Source organism: Homo sapiens, chromosome 4 (assembly GCF_000001405.40).
Source record: "Homo sapiens chromosome 4, GRCh38.p14 Primary Assembly".
NCBI lineage: Eukaryota > Metazoa > Chordata > Mammalia > Primates > Hominidae > Homo > Homo sapiens.
This window is the reverse complement of record NC_000004.12, coordinates 145,596,424-145,610,052: the sequence shown is the minus strand read 5'-3', so window position 1 is coordinate 145,610,052 and position 13,629 is coordinate 145,596,424. Positions and strand designations below refer to the sequence as shown.

Here is a 13,629-nt window from a genome sequence, read left to right as displayed (position 1 = left end):
AATGGCACCATGTTGGCAAATGTTTCGATGTAGCGCACAATTTCACCACATGATGGTGCCAGTGAAGTGAGAAGTCATCTGCTGCTAGTATTTGACATTAGGCTCAGACCTAAATATGTCAACAGAATGTAGTAAAAGATGTTTAAAAATTTTTTTAAAGAGCAATCATAAATAATTATAGACTAGAGTGTCTTTTGAAAACATAAGGAATGAAAACATCACAAATACAAAAAGGGTAAGAGTAATTGACTCATAAAACTTAAAAATAAAAAAGATGAGCTTTTGTATTCATAAGGAAGTATGTAGGACAGATGTCAGAGACTTTCCACAGGAAGGAAAACACCAAAGGAAATGAATTAAATGAGGGCAGGTGACTTAAAAAAAATGAGACCAGCTGTATAGTGATGTAGCTCCAGGGTCAAATGGTTCCAGTAAGATTCCACAATCAGTGCAAACGAGTTAGCAAAAGCCAATGACTAAAAGATTTTTAAAAACCTTTAATAGACATTACTACTTCCTTTTCTAATCTAAAATAAGTATTATTTTTCCCTGCATTATCAAAGATGGAAACAACAATAGAAGGAAGAAGCATTGCTTTTCAGAAATTATTGAAACAAATCCTTACATGTCATTATTACAGTGATTCTCCAAGTTTGGTCCCTGGACCAGCAGCATTGACATCACCTGAAATGTTAGAAATACAAATTATTTGGCCACGCTCAGACTTTTACTGAACCTGAAACTTGGGGAATGAGGCCTTTCAGGGCTTTTGGATGCACCCAAAAGTTAGGGATCCACTGTGTTACTTATGGCCCACGCCTGTAATCCCAGCACTTTGGGAGGCTGAGGCAGGCAGATCACGTGAAGTCAGGAGTTCGAGACCAACCTGGCCAACATGGTGAAACACTGTCTCTACCAAAAATACAAAAATTAGCGAGGCATGCTGGTGGGCACCTGTAATCGCAGCTACTTGGAAGGCTGAGGCAGAAGAATCACATTAACCTGGGAGGCGGAGGTTGCAGTGAGCTGAGATCGCGCCACTGCACTCCAGCCTGAGCAAGACTCTATCTCAAAACAAAACAAAAAAAAGGATAGAAAGAAAACAAATTCACCAAAGCATAATTAATAATACAAAGATATTGGAAATGCCAGTTTAATATTAAAGAAATATTAAGTAAATAATAGTATATTGTCAAGGCATTTAAACATGATTCTGTTAAATAATTTTTAATAATGGAAAATGCCTATTATATAATAGCAGAAGAGTCTCAATTATGTAAAACAATTCTAGAAGAAATATTAGAAGGAAAGAAGCAAAACTAGTTATTAATGGTTGCCTTGGAGTGATGTGATTAAATATACCATTTTCCTCCTGCCTGATTATATTGCAGATGCTGTTTTCAAATTTTATATGAGAAACTATTTTACTCCTATAAATAAGTCTTATAATGATTAAGGATGTTGGGGGGGGGGGTACTTTCCAAAGTCCTACTCAGAGGTTACACTCTTGCCCATTTTGTTCTAACTGTATGGTTGGTAAGAACAAAATATGACACAGATGCCAGTCCACAACATAACCCACCTTCCCCTTCCACATACACCAAAAAACCCCACGGTCATCATGTTGCTTACTGGAGAAAGAAGACATAGAAAGACCATTCTGGCGTAGTTTATATGTATTCAATGTTGAAAGGGAAGTAGGGGATTAAAATCTGACAGTGAGAAAAAACAATCTTGTTATAGACACTAATCACATGCTTTGCCAAGTATTGTTAGTTAATGAAAATATTAAATATTCTGAAGTAATATAAGGGAAAATATCTTTATGTGTAGATAACAACTTGCTTAGACATGTTACCCCTAAGAAAGATTCTCATTTTATAACTGTGTCATTTGAATTAATGACCTGACAAATCAAGTAGTCAAAAAAATTCCAAGATTATAATTTAAAAGATTAATATCTATCTACCTATTTATGTTCATGTATATCTTGAATGTTAGACCCTAAATATGATTATTTCTTTTTGACAAAGATCTGTAGAATATATGCTAAAATTGATAACATTAGGCCATTAAAAACTCAGTATTTAGAAAATAATCTAAAACTTAGATCACATTCTCTAAAAGTAATAAAATACAATAAAAATGAATAACAAATGATTAAACAAGGGGAAAAAAGCAATCATTTAGAAATTTGGGAAGGAGATTATCCCAAATAAGTTATATGACAAAAAGGAAATAAAAACAATAATTATTGCTCCTTTAGAAAAGAAGTATATAAAATTACAAAACAAATGGGATGCATGTGAAGATGAACTCAAACAAAATATATTATTTAAGGAAAAGGAAATTAGAAAAATAAAGACAAAAATTAAAGAATTATTAAATAAAAGCCATTACAGTTATAAGTATACCAAAAGTTGTGTCTTTGAAGGAAAAAATAATACAAAAATGCCCTGAAGACAGAGGGCGGTGACTCATGCCTGTAATCCCAGCACTTTGGGAAGCTGAAGTGGGAAGTTGCTTGAGCCGAGGAGTTAGAGATCAGCCTAGGCAAAATAGTGAGACCCTGTCTCTACAAAAAGAATAAAAATAAATTAGCCAGGTATGATGGCATGCACCTGTGGTCCCCCAGCTACTTGGGAGGCTGAGGTGGGAGGATTGCTTGGGCCTGGGAGGATGAGGCTGCAGTGAGCCATGATTGTGCCACTGCACTCCAGCCTGGATGACAGAGTGAGACCCTGTCTCAAAAAAAGATAAATGCCCTGGAGATTTCTAATTAAGAAACACACACACGCAGAGACACAGACCCACAAACACACACACACCACAAATACACACACACACACACACACACCACAAATACCTAATACATTAGGAATGAAAAGGGGGATAGAAACACTTGGATATGCTTTTATAATTACAAAAGAAGATTTCCACTTCCAGCTGTATGGCAGGCTGGGTTATTCAGACCAACATTCCCGGCTGAAGGAAAGAATAACTTAAAATGCTGTATAGCACATGAAAAGTGAATCCTTTTAAGCAATAAAGATATGATAAGGTAGTAAGACATTTCCAGGGCAAAACCTAAAAAGAGGAAAGACCCAAGGTAGGAGCACAGCATTGAAACTGCTTTTGCCCTAAAAGCATTTGCTAAACCAAGCGAATTTGGTTTCAGTGGCCTTGTAGAGCACGGAAAACAGAACTCAAAGCCTAGTGTGTACTTGAGATGAACAATGTGAAGATCTAAAAGGAGGCCCTTCTGCCATAAAGCCAAGATACCAAAACGATATTCCCTCAGGAAAAAAGATAAACCAGAAATGAACCTGCTCCACCTCTGCCAGGAAGGTTAACTTGGCTCTAAGCAGAGCAGGGCTGGAAAATAACCACCCCTGAAAAGTTGTGAGCATATGAATGCATCAGGCTTTTTCACACAGTATTTACAACACCAAGGTAGTCCAAAAAACTTTAAACCATAATTTTAAGTTGTTTCCAAACTGATGGTGTTTCTATGCACTAGTCAGAGGCAAAGGCATCTTGACTTTAGGCCTCTAAGACAACTCAAAAATAATTTTCCAAGGAAAAACAAAAAGCAACTCACAGACAAACGTAACCAAGAACCACAAGGAAATAAGTCACTATGCACAAGACCCAGCAAAAAACAACAAAGAGCAGAAACAAATATACAATTAATTTAGATATTGTAATATTCCAGTTACAGGAAATAAAATGACTATGCTTTGAAAATGAAAAACCAAGTATTTTCAGGGAATAGGAAACTATTTTTTTAAAAACCTAGCATATTTAAAAGAGAACTAAGCAAACTTCTAGAAATAAAAAATATAACAATTGAAATATAAAACTCAATGGATAGAATTAACAACACACAAGAAGAAGTTGAAAAGAGAATTAGTGAATTTGAAGATTGGTAAGAACTATTCAGAATACAGAGACAAAAAGAAGTAGGAAGTATAAACCAGAGTTTATGTAACACAGAGCTTAGAGCTTCTTCATTTAAGAGTTTCTTAGGTTAAGAAGATCTATTATACATCTGATAAGAGTTCCAGTTGAAGAGAAAGAAAGATATGGAACAGAGATAATAGCTGAGAATTTTCCAGGACTAATGAAAGAAACCAAAAATAAATATACATCTTGACACATACTGAATTGCAGAAAAGCAAGGACTTAACACTTAAAAAGAAGCCGTAGGAAAAGAGAAGACTGATTATTTTCAAAGGAACCTCACTTAGACCAACAATAAACACTGGAAGCCAGGAGCTGGTGAAATATCTTTAATATGTTGAAAGAAAATAACTGCCATTTAAAATCTTATATTCAATAAAATCGTTTTTTAAGAATGAGGGTAGAGACATTTTCAGACCAAAAACAAACAAACAAACAAACAAAAAAACAACAAAAAAAGAGAGTTTACCAGCAGTGCAAAACTCAAAGAAGAAATGATAAAAGATGTAATTTGAACTGAAGAAAAGTGATTTGAAAGGGAGGGTCTGATATGTAATAGGAAATAAAGGGTAAAGGCTGAGGCAGGCAGGATCACTTGAGGTCAGGAGTTCAAGACCAGCCTGGCCAGGATAGTGAAACCTTGTCTCTACTAATAATACAAAACTTAGGGCCAGGCGCAGTGGCTCACACCTGTAATCCCAGAACTTTGGGAGGCCGAGGTGGACGGATCACGAGGTCAGGAGATCGAGACCACAGTGAAACCCCGTTTCTACTAAAAATACAAAAAATTAGCCGGGCACGGTGGCAGGCGTCTGTAGTCCCAGCTACTCAGGAGGCTGAGGCAGGAGAATGGCGTGAACCTGGGAGGTGGCACTTGCAGTGAGCTGAGATTGCACCACTGCACTCCAGCCTGGGCAACAGAGCCAGATTCCATCTCAAAAACAAAAACAAAAACAAAAAAATAACAAACTTAGCCAGGCGTGGTGGCACATGCCTGTAATCCCAGCTACTTGGGAGACTGAGGCAGGAGAATCGCTTGAACCTGGGAGGCGGAGGTTGCAGTGAGCCAAGATTGCGCCATTGCACTCCAGCCTGAGTGACAAGAGCGAAACTCCATCTCAAAAAAAAAAAAAAAAAAAGAATGCTTGATTCAGAATACCAACCACAAAAAATTATGAGAAAGATGGTGTCCTAAATAAATGGAGAAAGGAAGCATTATTTCATTAATAGTCTAGGGAAAATTGGTTGATTAGGTGAGGAAATGACAGCAAAGGCATGACATGAAGCTGGGATTGTGACAGAGGCATCTCTTTTCAGGTGCCTTGGTAGAAAATAGGAAAGACAGAAGATTTGAGGGTTTTCTGCTTGCATTATCAAATCTAGTAATGTGTGATTCCTAGATCTACATCTATCTTTATTTATTTAGATGCTGGAGGAAATGCACAACATGTTAGCAGTGTCTGTCTCCCACTTTCATATTTTAGTTAAATATGCAAAGAGGACTTTTAATTGTTATGAAAAAAACTAACATTTAAAAATGCCCCATGATCTTAATGTGCAAAGTTTAGAAAAGCTAATCATTGTTTTCAGTTGCTTAAGTATGCTCCATTTTACACAAAGCTCCATAAACTGAATACTATAAATTTCCAAAATAATTACCAAAATCTAAGTTAATGTCTCTAAACACATGATCTTAACAATAGTATATGCAATATAGCTAACGTGACCACATCATTTTACAGTCTGCCTATTTTTCTTCTTTTTGCTGCGTTTTTTCTACAAATGTTCAAGCTTTCTTTCCTCTCATTCAGGAGAAAAATAACTAAAGGTAGTGGTGTAAAAGCAAGCAACAGCTCTTCCCTAGGATGAGACAAAAAGAAATACAATGTATTTTTAAAATGATATTTGGTAATGGACTTTAATTTCAAAGTAGAAGGAAAGAATTTTTTTAAAAAAAGATTATATTAAAAGCATGAGCAGTTGCCCTGAAGCGTAATTCAATATTTATCAAATTCTTTGTGTATTTTTGCTGAACTGGAAATGAGTAGATTTGGTCTCAGATGAGTAATATTCAACTGTCTATGATAAATAGTCTTCTTTACACCAAATTCAAATGTGCTTATTTTGTTTCTTTTCAGTTTCATAAGAAAGGGAGACAAGACTGAATGCTGAATGTTTCTTTTTGATCTTATGCACTATTTCAGCTGACAGAATAAAAGAAATGTCTGTTTACTTAATTTATTAATTTATTTGAAAAAAAAAAAACCCTGTTGGCTGCGTTAGCCTGTCTTCTTCCTTAGAGAACAGCAACTGCATTTATAAAAGGATAAAAAATTGTGGGTTCAATTGCTCCAACATTTTCTAGCCTATTTTGATAGCACTTGGGAATATCAGCCAATCTTTTAAAGATGGTTTTTTTATGAAGCCTTGAAATAACCATTCCTGTCTGACATTTTAAATCATTATTGTCTTTCTAGGGATAGTTGATGAAATATCTCAAAAATATCTCCTGATAATTGATTAATTCAAATTGCTGATTGGAAAAAAAAAAAAACTAACCCTAAAGCCAGTAGTCTCAAGGGGAAAGCTGCCTGGCCAGCCCAATACAGGCCCTGGGGGCACTACTTGGGGATGATGGCCCCGCACTCAATCCAGAGCCAGTCCCTGGCCTAGCAGGCTCAAAGCTTAATTTATAGTCTCCTCAGGTAAAGATTCATGGAGATACTTTCCCAAACACTAATACATGTGACCAAAATGCCAACAGCATATCCAGTTCTTATTAATAATTCTCTCCACAGGCAAATTTCTATTTGAGGCCAAATTTCAATCAGAAGAGGAGTAAGGTGATAGTAATGGCTAGTGTCAACAATCTGTAATACCTACTACACCAGCTCCATGTGAGCATTTATATTCTACATTGCTAATCACTACTTCTGATTGATATATGCCCTTTTAAAAAACAGATTATTAAATATTCAGTCTGGCTACAGTCAAGGGTTGTTGGGCACGAGTGTATTTCTTATCCCCATGGTGAACTTCATAAACTTTTTAAGTAGTTTACTCCAGAGTTTAGTTATATTTTTCTCTTTCCATATTCTGAAGAGGAACATCTCACCTCTAGAACAAAAACTACATAAGCACAGAAAACTTGTCTGTCTTACTCACCCTGTGCCCTATCTGCACCGCCCTGCCCCCAAGTCTAGAAAAATGTCTTAATATTGTAAGCACTAAAAAAAAGTAAATGAATGATAGAAAAAGCATCTTTTATTTGCAGGCATTCCTATACTACACAAATGTTATTAGAAAAATGGCATATACTAAGTACCTGTATTTAGTACTTGTGGATTATTCCTCCGACGGAGGAGCTCAAAGGAAAGAGCTCACACAGTGCTTGCCTTTGACCCAACAATTTAAATTAGACACCCTTCTTCACTTTATTATTCTCTCTTAACTTTCTTTTCCTTCAGCACTTACTACAGTTGGTAGTTTGCAGTTTATTCATGCTTATTTATTTAAGATCTGAATCATGCTCTGGGAAGGCAGGGACTATGTCTATTTTATATGCAGCTCATGTCTATAGGCTGCCTTTAATGGTATAGGCTCCATGATATTCATAAAAATTGCCTTGAGTATTTTTTTTAAGACAGAGTTTTGCTATGTCACTCAGTCTGGAGGGCAGTGGCTATTCATAGTCACAATCACAGCTCGCTGCAGCCTTGAACTCCTGGGCTCAACTGATCCTCCTGCTTCAATCTCCGGAGTAGTGGGGACATGTTATGCAATTGGTTCACACAGTACTTACATGCCTTGAGTTTTATGAGCCAGATCTATCTTGCAGTCACAGGAAGAAAAAAATAACTTGATGGCTTTAAATAATGAGCTATTTTGGAGGACAGGCAGCCATCCCAATACCCCAAAATCATACCATATGGGGAAATGCTGATCCCAGGTAGACTATGGGTCATTGGTGTTTCCCAGGCTAGCTATAGGAGGAAACAGCAAGGAAACGATTTAGTTCATGTTTATTCTGTAAACTTGAGAGTTAAGATTAACTTATTATGTTTTATAGAAAGCTAGTCACATGCTTAATAATCACTGTGCTTCTTCCTAAAAGTTGCTCATTTCAGCTAATAGTTAATGGTGCACTTTGCCTTGACTATTGGATTTTGCACATTTAAATGTCATTTACATCTGTCAGCTTTAGACTTTTTATTGTGTCATGATAGCCAATTCACAGAAATAAATCAGTTATTTAAAAGTAAAGTATAAAAGTAGTGACGAAAATTGTAATATAAATAGAACAACACTGTAAATGTAAACAGGGAACAGGAATTCAATGCAAATATCAAATATGAAGCTGTATTTGCTAAAACAAGTGAATCTTGATGAATATGTGAAAATTGGATTTTATCAGACCAGCAATCAATTTGCCTCTAGTTTCTATTGCATTGTCTGTTACAAAACTTTGTTAAAGAATGGCAAGAAGCCACAGGAGCTTTTGCATTGCTTTCATAGTTCCGTGACCTTTCTGATAAACCAATTGAATTTTTCCTGAACAAGCACAAAATAATGCTTTCTAATATGAAATTGATAAATTTTGTCATTTAAAGATGGAGAAGAGACTAAAACTAAATAAACATTATTCAAAGTTACACATCAAAAAAAGAAATATAGAAGTCACATTATCACTAAGAAATTTCTGAAACCAGCTCTAAGGTTAATGATCATTACCATGCTCAGGAAGAAACTTTAATTAGCTACTGGCAATTTCATAATCCAAGTGAACTACTGTACATCATATAATATTAATGGCATACAGCACAGAAGAACAATGTCTTATCAGGAGTACATGCTAGCAGATACTTGGCTTACATTTGGAAAGAATCAGGTGTGCAGAGTATCAATCAGCGCTTGACAGAAATATGCAGAAATATATGAAAGAAAAGTGCTCAATGACTTATTGGCTAGTTTATGGCTCCAACCCCATGCTAGGGGAGGTTTTCCATGTGGTTAACAATTATTCTGTGAACTATGATTTAGGCTAGAAAGACATGAACAGCAGTATGTGCTCAACAAGAAAATATTTACATGGATAAAGATGAATGTCCTTTATGCATTGCTTTGTCCCCAGAAAATAGTTGGTGAAGTAGTTAATACATTCAAACTGTGGCCCCAAGTGTTTATCTTTTAAGCATGCTTTGTGAAGAAATTGGCAGCAAGCATAAGTCTCCTTTTCTACACAGAAGTAAACTATTTATTGAGGTGAAAATTTTTACACAAATTTTTGAAACCAGGGTTGAGATAAAAGCATTTCTTTTCTTCATGACACCAGTAATGCCATTTTTTTAAAAGTAGTTTTTTCAAGTGGCATATCTCAATGGTATATTCTACCTTTTAGTAGCCTTATGTCAAAGTGTAAATTTAGTCATTTTAAATATCGTGTCTGTCAGAGTTTCTTAAGAAAACTAAACTATGGTATAAATATCCTAATCAACAAGTTCCATTTTAACACTTGATTGTCTCACTCATCATATAGATCAATGACATTACAGGACATATTTATACATCATAGTAAAAAGACAATATAAATAAAAACAAACAAATTCAAATGCTGTTCACAAATCTTCAGAAACACCTTCCAGAGCCAGATGGAATCAAAGTGGAGCAGGACTGCATTCATCATCAACTCTGAGGCTATAACAGAGGACATTCCAGTTATTAAGTGTGATGTTTTCCCCTCTAGTACCTGACTTACTGCTGAGAAAGAAATACTATGCTTTCTGGGTACATGTTTAAATGATATATTTAGAATGATCAGACAGAGGTCCTGAACAATTCTACCAATCCCGATGACCAATAATTATGATTAGGGCTATTTCAGCAGAAATAGAGTCAGGAAAGAAATGGACTGCATTGGGCTCTTTATCTTGGAAAAAAGTTACAGAAAACATCATCCCTTTCACTGATATGAAACAGTCATTATTAAGTGAAAAATATTATGTTTTGGATGAACCTTGAGGATAATTATGTTAAGTGAAAAGAGCCAGACATAAAGTGACAAATATTGTATGATTCAACTTATATCAGATACCTAGAATAGCCAAATTCACACAGACAGAAACTAATATAAAGGCTACTAAGGGCTAGGGGGAGATCAGAATGGAGAGTTAATGTTTAATGTGTGCATAATTTCTATATGGAGTAATGAAAAAGTTATGGAAATGGATGGTGGTGATGGCTGCATAATATGAATGTATATAGTGCCACTGAATTGTATACTTTAAAATGGTCAAAATGGCAAATTTTGTTACAGTTTGCCACATTAAAGTAATTGTTTTATTACGATTTTTAAATTGTGATTAAAATGTACTTAAAGCCAGGCGTGGTTGTGTGCACCTGTATTCCCAGCTACTCCGGAGTCTGAGGTGAGAAGGTCGCTTGAGCCCAGGAGTTAAAGTCCAGCCTGGGCAACATAGTGAGACCCTATCTCTTAAAAAAAAGTACCCCAAATTGTTAGCCTTGTGGGTACCAAACACCCAGTTACTGATCTGTTAATGCTGGAATCCAGCTCTGGAAATTCTCATTAGGACTTTTGAAGCATCATTTCTACCAACTGGAGGAAGTGAGAGTGGATTGGAAAAGACCAGGAAGAGGGCTAACCCTGAGAAATTAGGGCTAGGAGGTGAAAATTGAAACTCCTTGTAGTTTGTTGTGGGGTGTCCACTTTCCTCTTACCTGCAGAGACAGAAGCCAAAAAGAAATGTAATGTAGGGTTTTCTTCTTACCAAGGAAAATTCTGTGGTAGGCAGCAGAAGCACATTTGTTGCTGTTTGATAGTTCTGTACTTATTTTGCACTTTTACTCATTCGGTATGTTAAAAAGAAAGCATTTGGCTGTAGAATCCCTTCTTTAGGCAAAGTCATCAAAATAAGAAGCCTTTGGAACTTCAATGAAAGACAGAAATTCTTCTCAGACTGAAGACGGCACTATGGTTTAAGTGTGTCCCCCAAAGTTCATGTGCTGTAAACTAAATCCCCAATGTGACAGTGTTGGAAGGTGGGGCTTAATAAGAGGTGGTTAGGTCACAAGGGCTCCGCCTTCATGAATGGATTGTTGTTGCTAATGTGGGAGTGGGTCAGTTACCATGAGACTGGGCTTGTTATAAAAGTGAGTTCAGGCCTCTCTTGATCTTGCTTTCTCTGGAGCATCCTTTCTTGACCTTCCACCTTCCTTTTCCACCTTCCACTATGAAATGATGCAACAGGAAGGCTCTCCTTAGATGCTAGCACTTTGATATTGGACTTTTAAACCTCCAAGACTGTAAGAAGGAATTATTTTTCTTTATAAATTACATAGTGTGTGGTGATCTGTTATAACAACACAAAATGAACGAAGATGGCATTTCCTAAAGTGGGGACCATGAAATATTAATGGGTGTTCCATGAAAAAAATAGATCTGTGGTCAAATAAGTACAGTTGACCCTTGAACAACCTAAAAGTCAGGGGCACCAACTCCATACAGGCAAAAATCTTCATGCAACTTTTGACTCCCCCAAAACTTCACAAAGAATACCCATATTGTTGGAGGGTCAACAACTGAAATTGCTGTAGAGGTTTCTCTACTGCAGAACATTCCATAGTGCCTTTTGAATTTACAAAAGATTTAGAGTCCTTTTTAAAATGTTGCCAACATGGCTATAGGTCTTAAAAATCAACCCTGTTTATGCTTTTCACAGAGAATTTTGTGAATGTGTGTTTTCAGGAACACACTTTGAGAAAGGTTGGCCTCAAGGAATTTATTGTTATTTATTTGCTTCTCATGCATGCTTCTGTGATCACTGCAAATATCAGTGGCTCAGTTGCTGACAAGTGATCATAACACTTTTTGTTATACAGTATGTTTAATATTTATTTTTCTTATTAAAAAGACAATGCAACCTTGTTGAAGAAAAACTAGGAAAAAGGTCAGCAAGAAGAGTAACATAAGATACCCATGACCCCACTGTCTAGGGGTAATCACTGTTAACAGCTTCTGCGTATCAACTCAGCTCTCTTCTTTTTAATAAATATATATACACTTATCCACTACAGTGGCACCATTCACTACAAATTGGTTTTTCACCTGATTTTTAAATTATCAGTCTACTACAAAGTTCTTCCCATGTCAGTAAATATTTGTCCTCAATATGGTTTTCAATGATAAAAATATTTTATATGTGTAACTATATATGTAGAATGTTAAAATGCAGGTCTGAACTATCAGCACAAATGTTGTAGGTTTAGGAAATTCATACATGCTTTCATTCATTTTTTTTTCTTCTGTGTTACATTTTAATGCAATTTTTAAGAAAGGATTTAGCCCTTCCTTAATCCCTTCACAGCTGCATTTTGACTAACATAGCCACAGCTGATCAAGGCTGTGTGTATTGTTAACACATTTGCCTATAAGGTAATGTTGACATGAACACTTGAAAATGACTGTCCTTTTCTAAGACACTTATTAGCAGTTCACAAGTATTTATTTATGCATTGACTGCCATCTCATTGCACATTCTGGACTGTAAATGGTGGTTAGCAACTAGAACACAAAGTTCAATACAGAAAACGGGAAAGACACAAAACTCCTTTTGAAAGGAATTTGGCCTTTGAATTGAAATTTATAGGAGAGGTTCCAAGATGGCCGAACAGGAACAGCTCCAGTCTGCAGCTCCCAGCGTGAGTGATGCAGAAGATGGGTGATTTCTGCATTTCCAACTGAGGTACCGGGTTCATCTCACAGGGGCTTGTCAGACAGTGGGTGCAGCCCACTGAGCAGGGTGGGGTATCGCCTCACCCAGGAAGTGCGAGGGGTTGGAAAATTCCCTCTCCTAGCAAAGGGAAGCTGTGACAGATGGTACCTGGAGAATCAGGACCCTCCCACCCTAATTCTGCGCTTTTCCAATGGCCTTAGCAAACAGCACACCAGGAGATTATATCCTGCGCATGGCTTGGTGAGTCCCACGCCCACGGAGCCTTGCTCACTGCTAGCACAGCAGTCTGAGATCAAACTGCAAGGCAGCAGCAAGGCTACGGGAGGGGAATCCACCATTGCTGAGGCTTGAGTAGGTTAACACAGTGGCCGGGAAGCTCAAACTGGGTGGAGCCCACTGCAGCTCAACCAGGCCTGCCTGCCTCTGTAGACTCCACCTCTGAGGGCAGGGCATAGCTGAACAAAAGGCAGCAGAAACTTCTGCAGACTTAAACGTCCCTGTCTGACAGCTTTGAAGAGAGTAGTGGTTCTCCCAGTGTGGAGTTTGAGATCTGAGAATGGACAGACTGCTTCCTCAAGTGGGTCCCTGACCCCTGAGTAGCCTAACTGGGAGACACCTCCAGTAGGGGCCGACTGACACCTCATACAGCTGGTGCCCCTCTGAGATGAAGCTTCCAGAGGAAGGATCAGGCAGCAACATCTGCCATTCTGCAATATTTGATGTTCTGCAGCCTCCACTGGCTGCAGGCAAACAGGGTCTGGAGTGGACCTCCAGCAAACTCCAACAGACCTGCAGCTGAGGGTCCTGACTGTTAGAAGGAAAACTAACAAAGAGAAAGGACATCCACACCAAAATCCCATCTGTACGTCACAATCATCAAAGACCAAAGGTAGATAAAACCACAAATATAGGGAGA

General features: G+C 37.2%; 1 long non-coding RNA gene across 2 annotated transcripts; it reads right to left on the bottom strand.

Annotated features, from left to right (window-relative positions):
• Nucleotides 9,192-11,021, bottom strand: LINC02491 (long intergenic non-protein coding RNA 2491). 2 transcript variants are annotated; one of them, NR_183953.1, is made up of 2 exons: nt 10,699-11,021; nt 9,192-9,657 (listed from the first exon to the last, which is right to left on the bottom strand). It is a non-coding gene; the product is annotated as a long intergenic non-protein coding RNA 2491 (long non-coding RNA). The 2 variants fall into 2 exon arrangements; NR_183954.1 differs by having other exon boundaries at nt 10,749-11,021.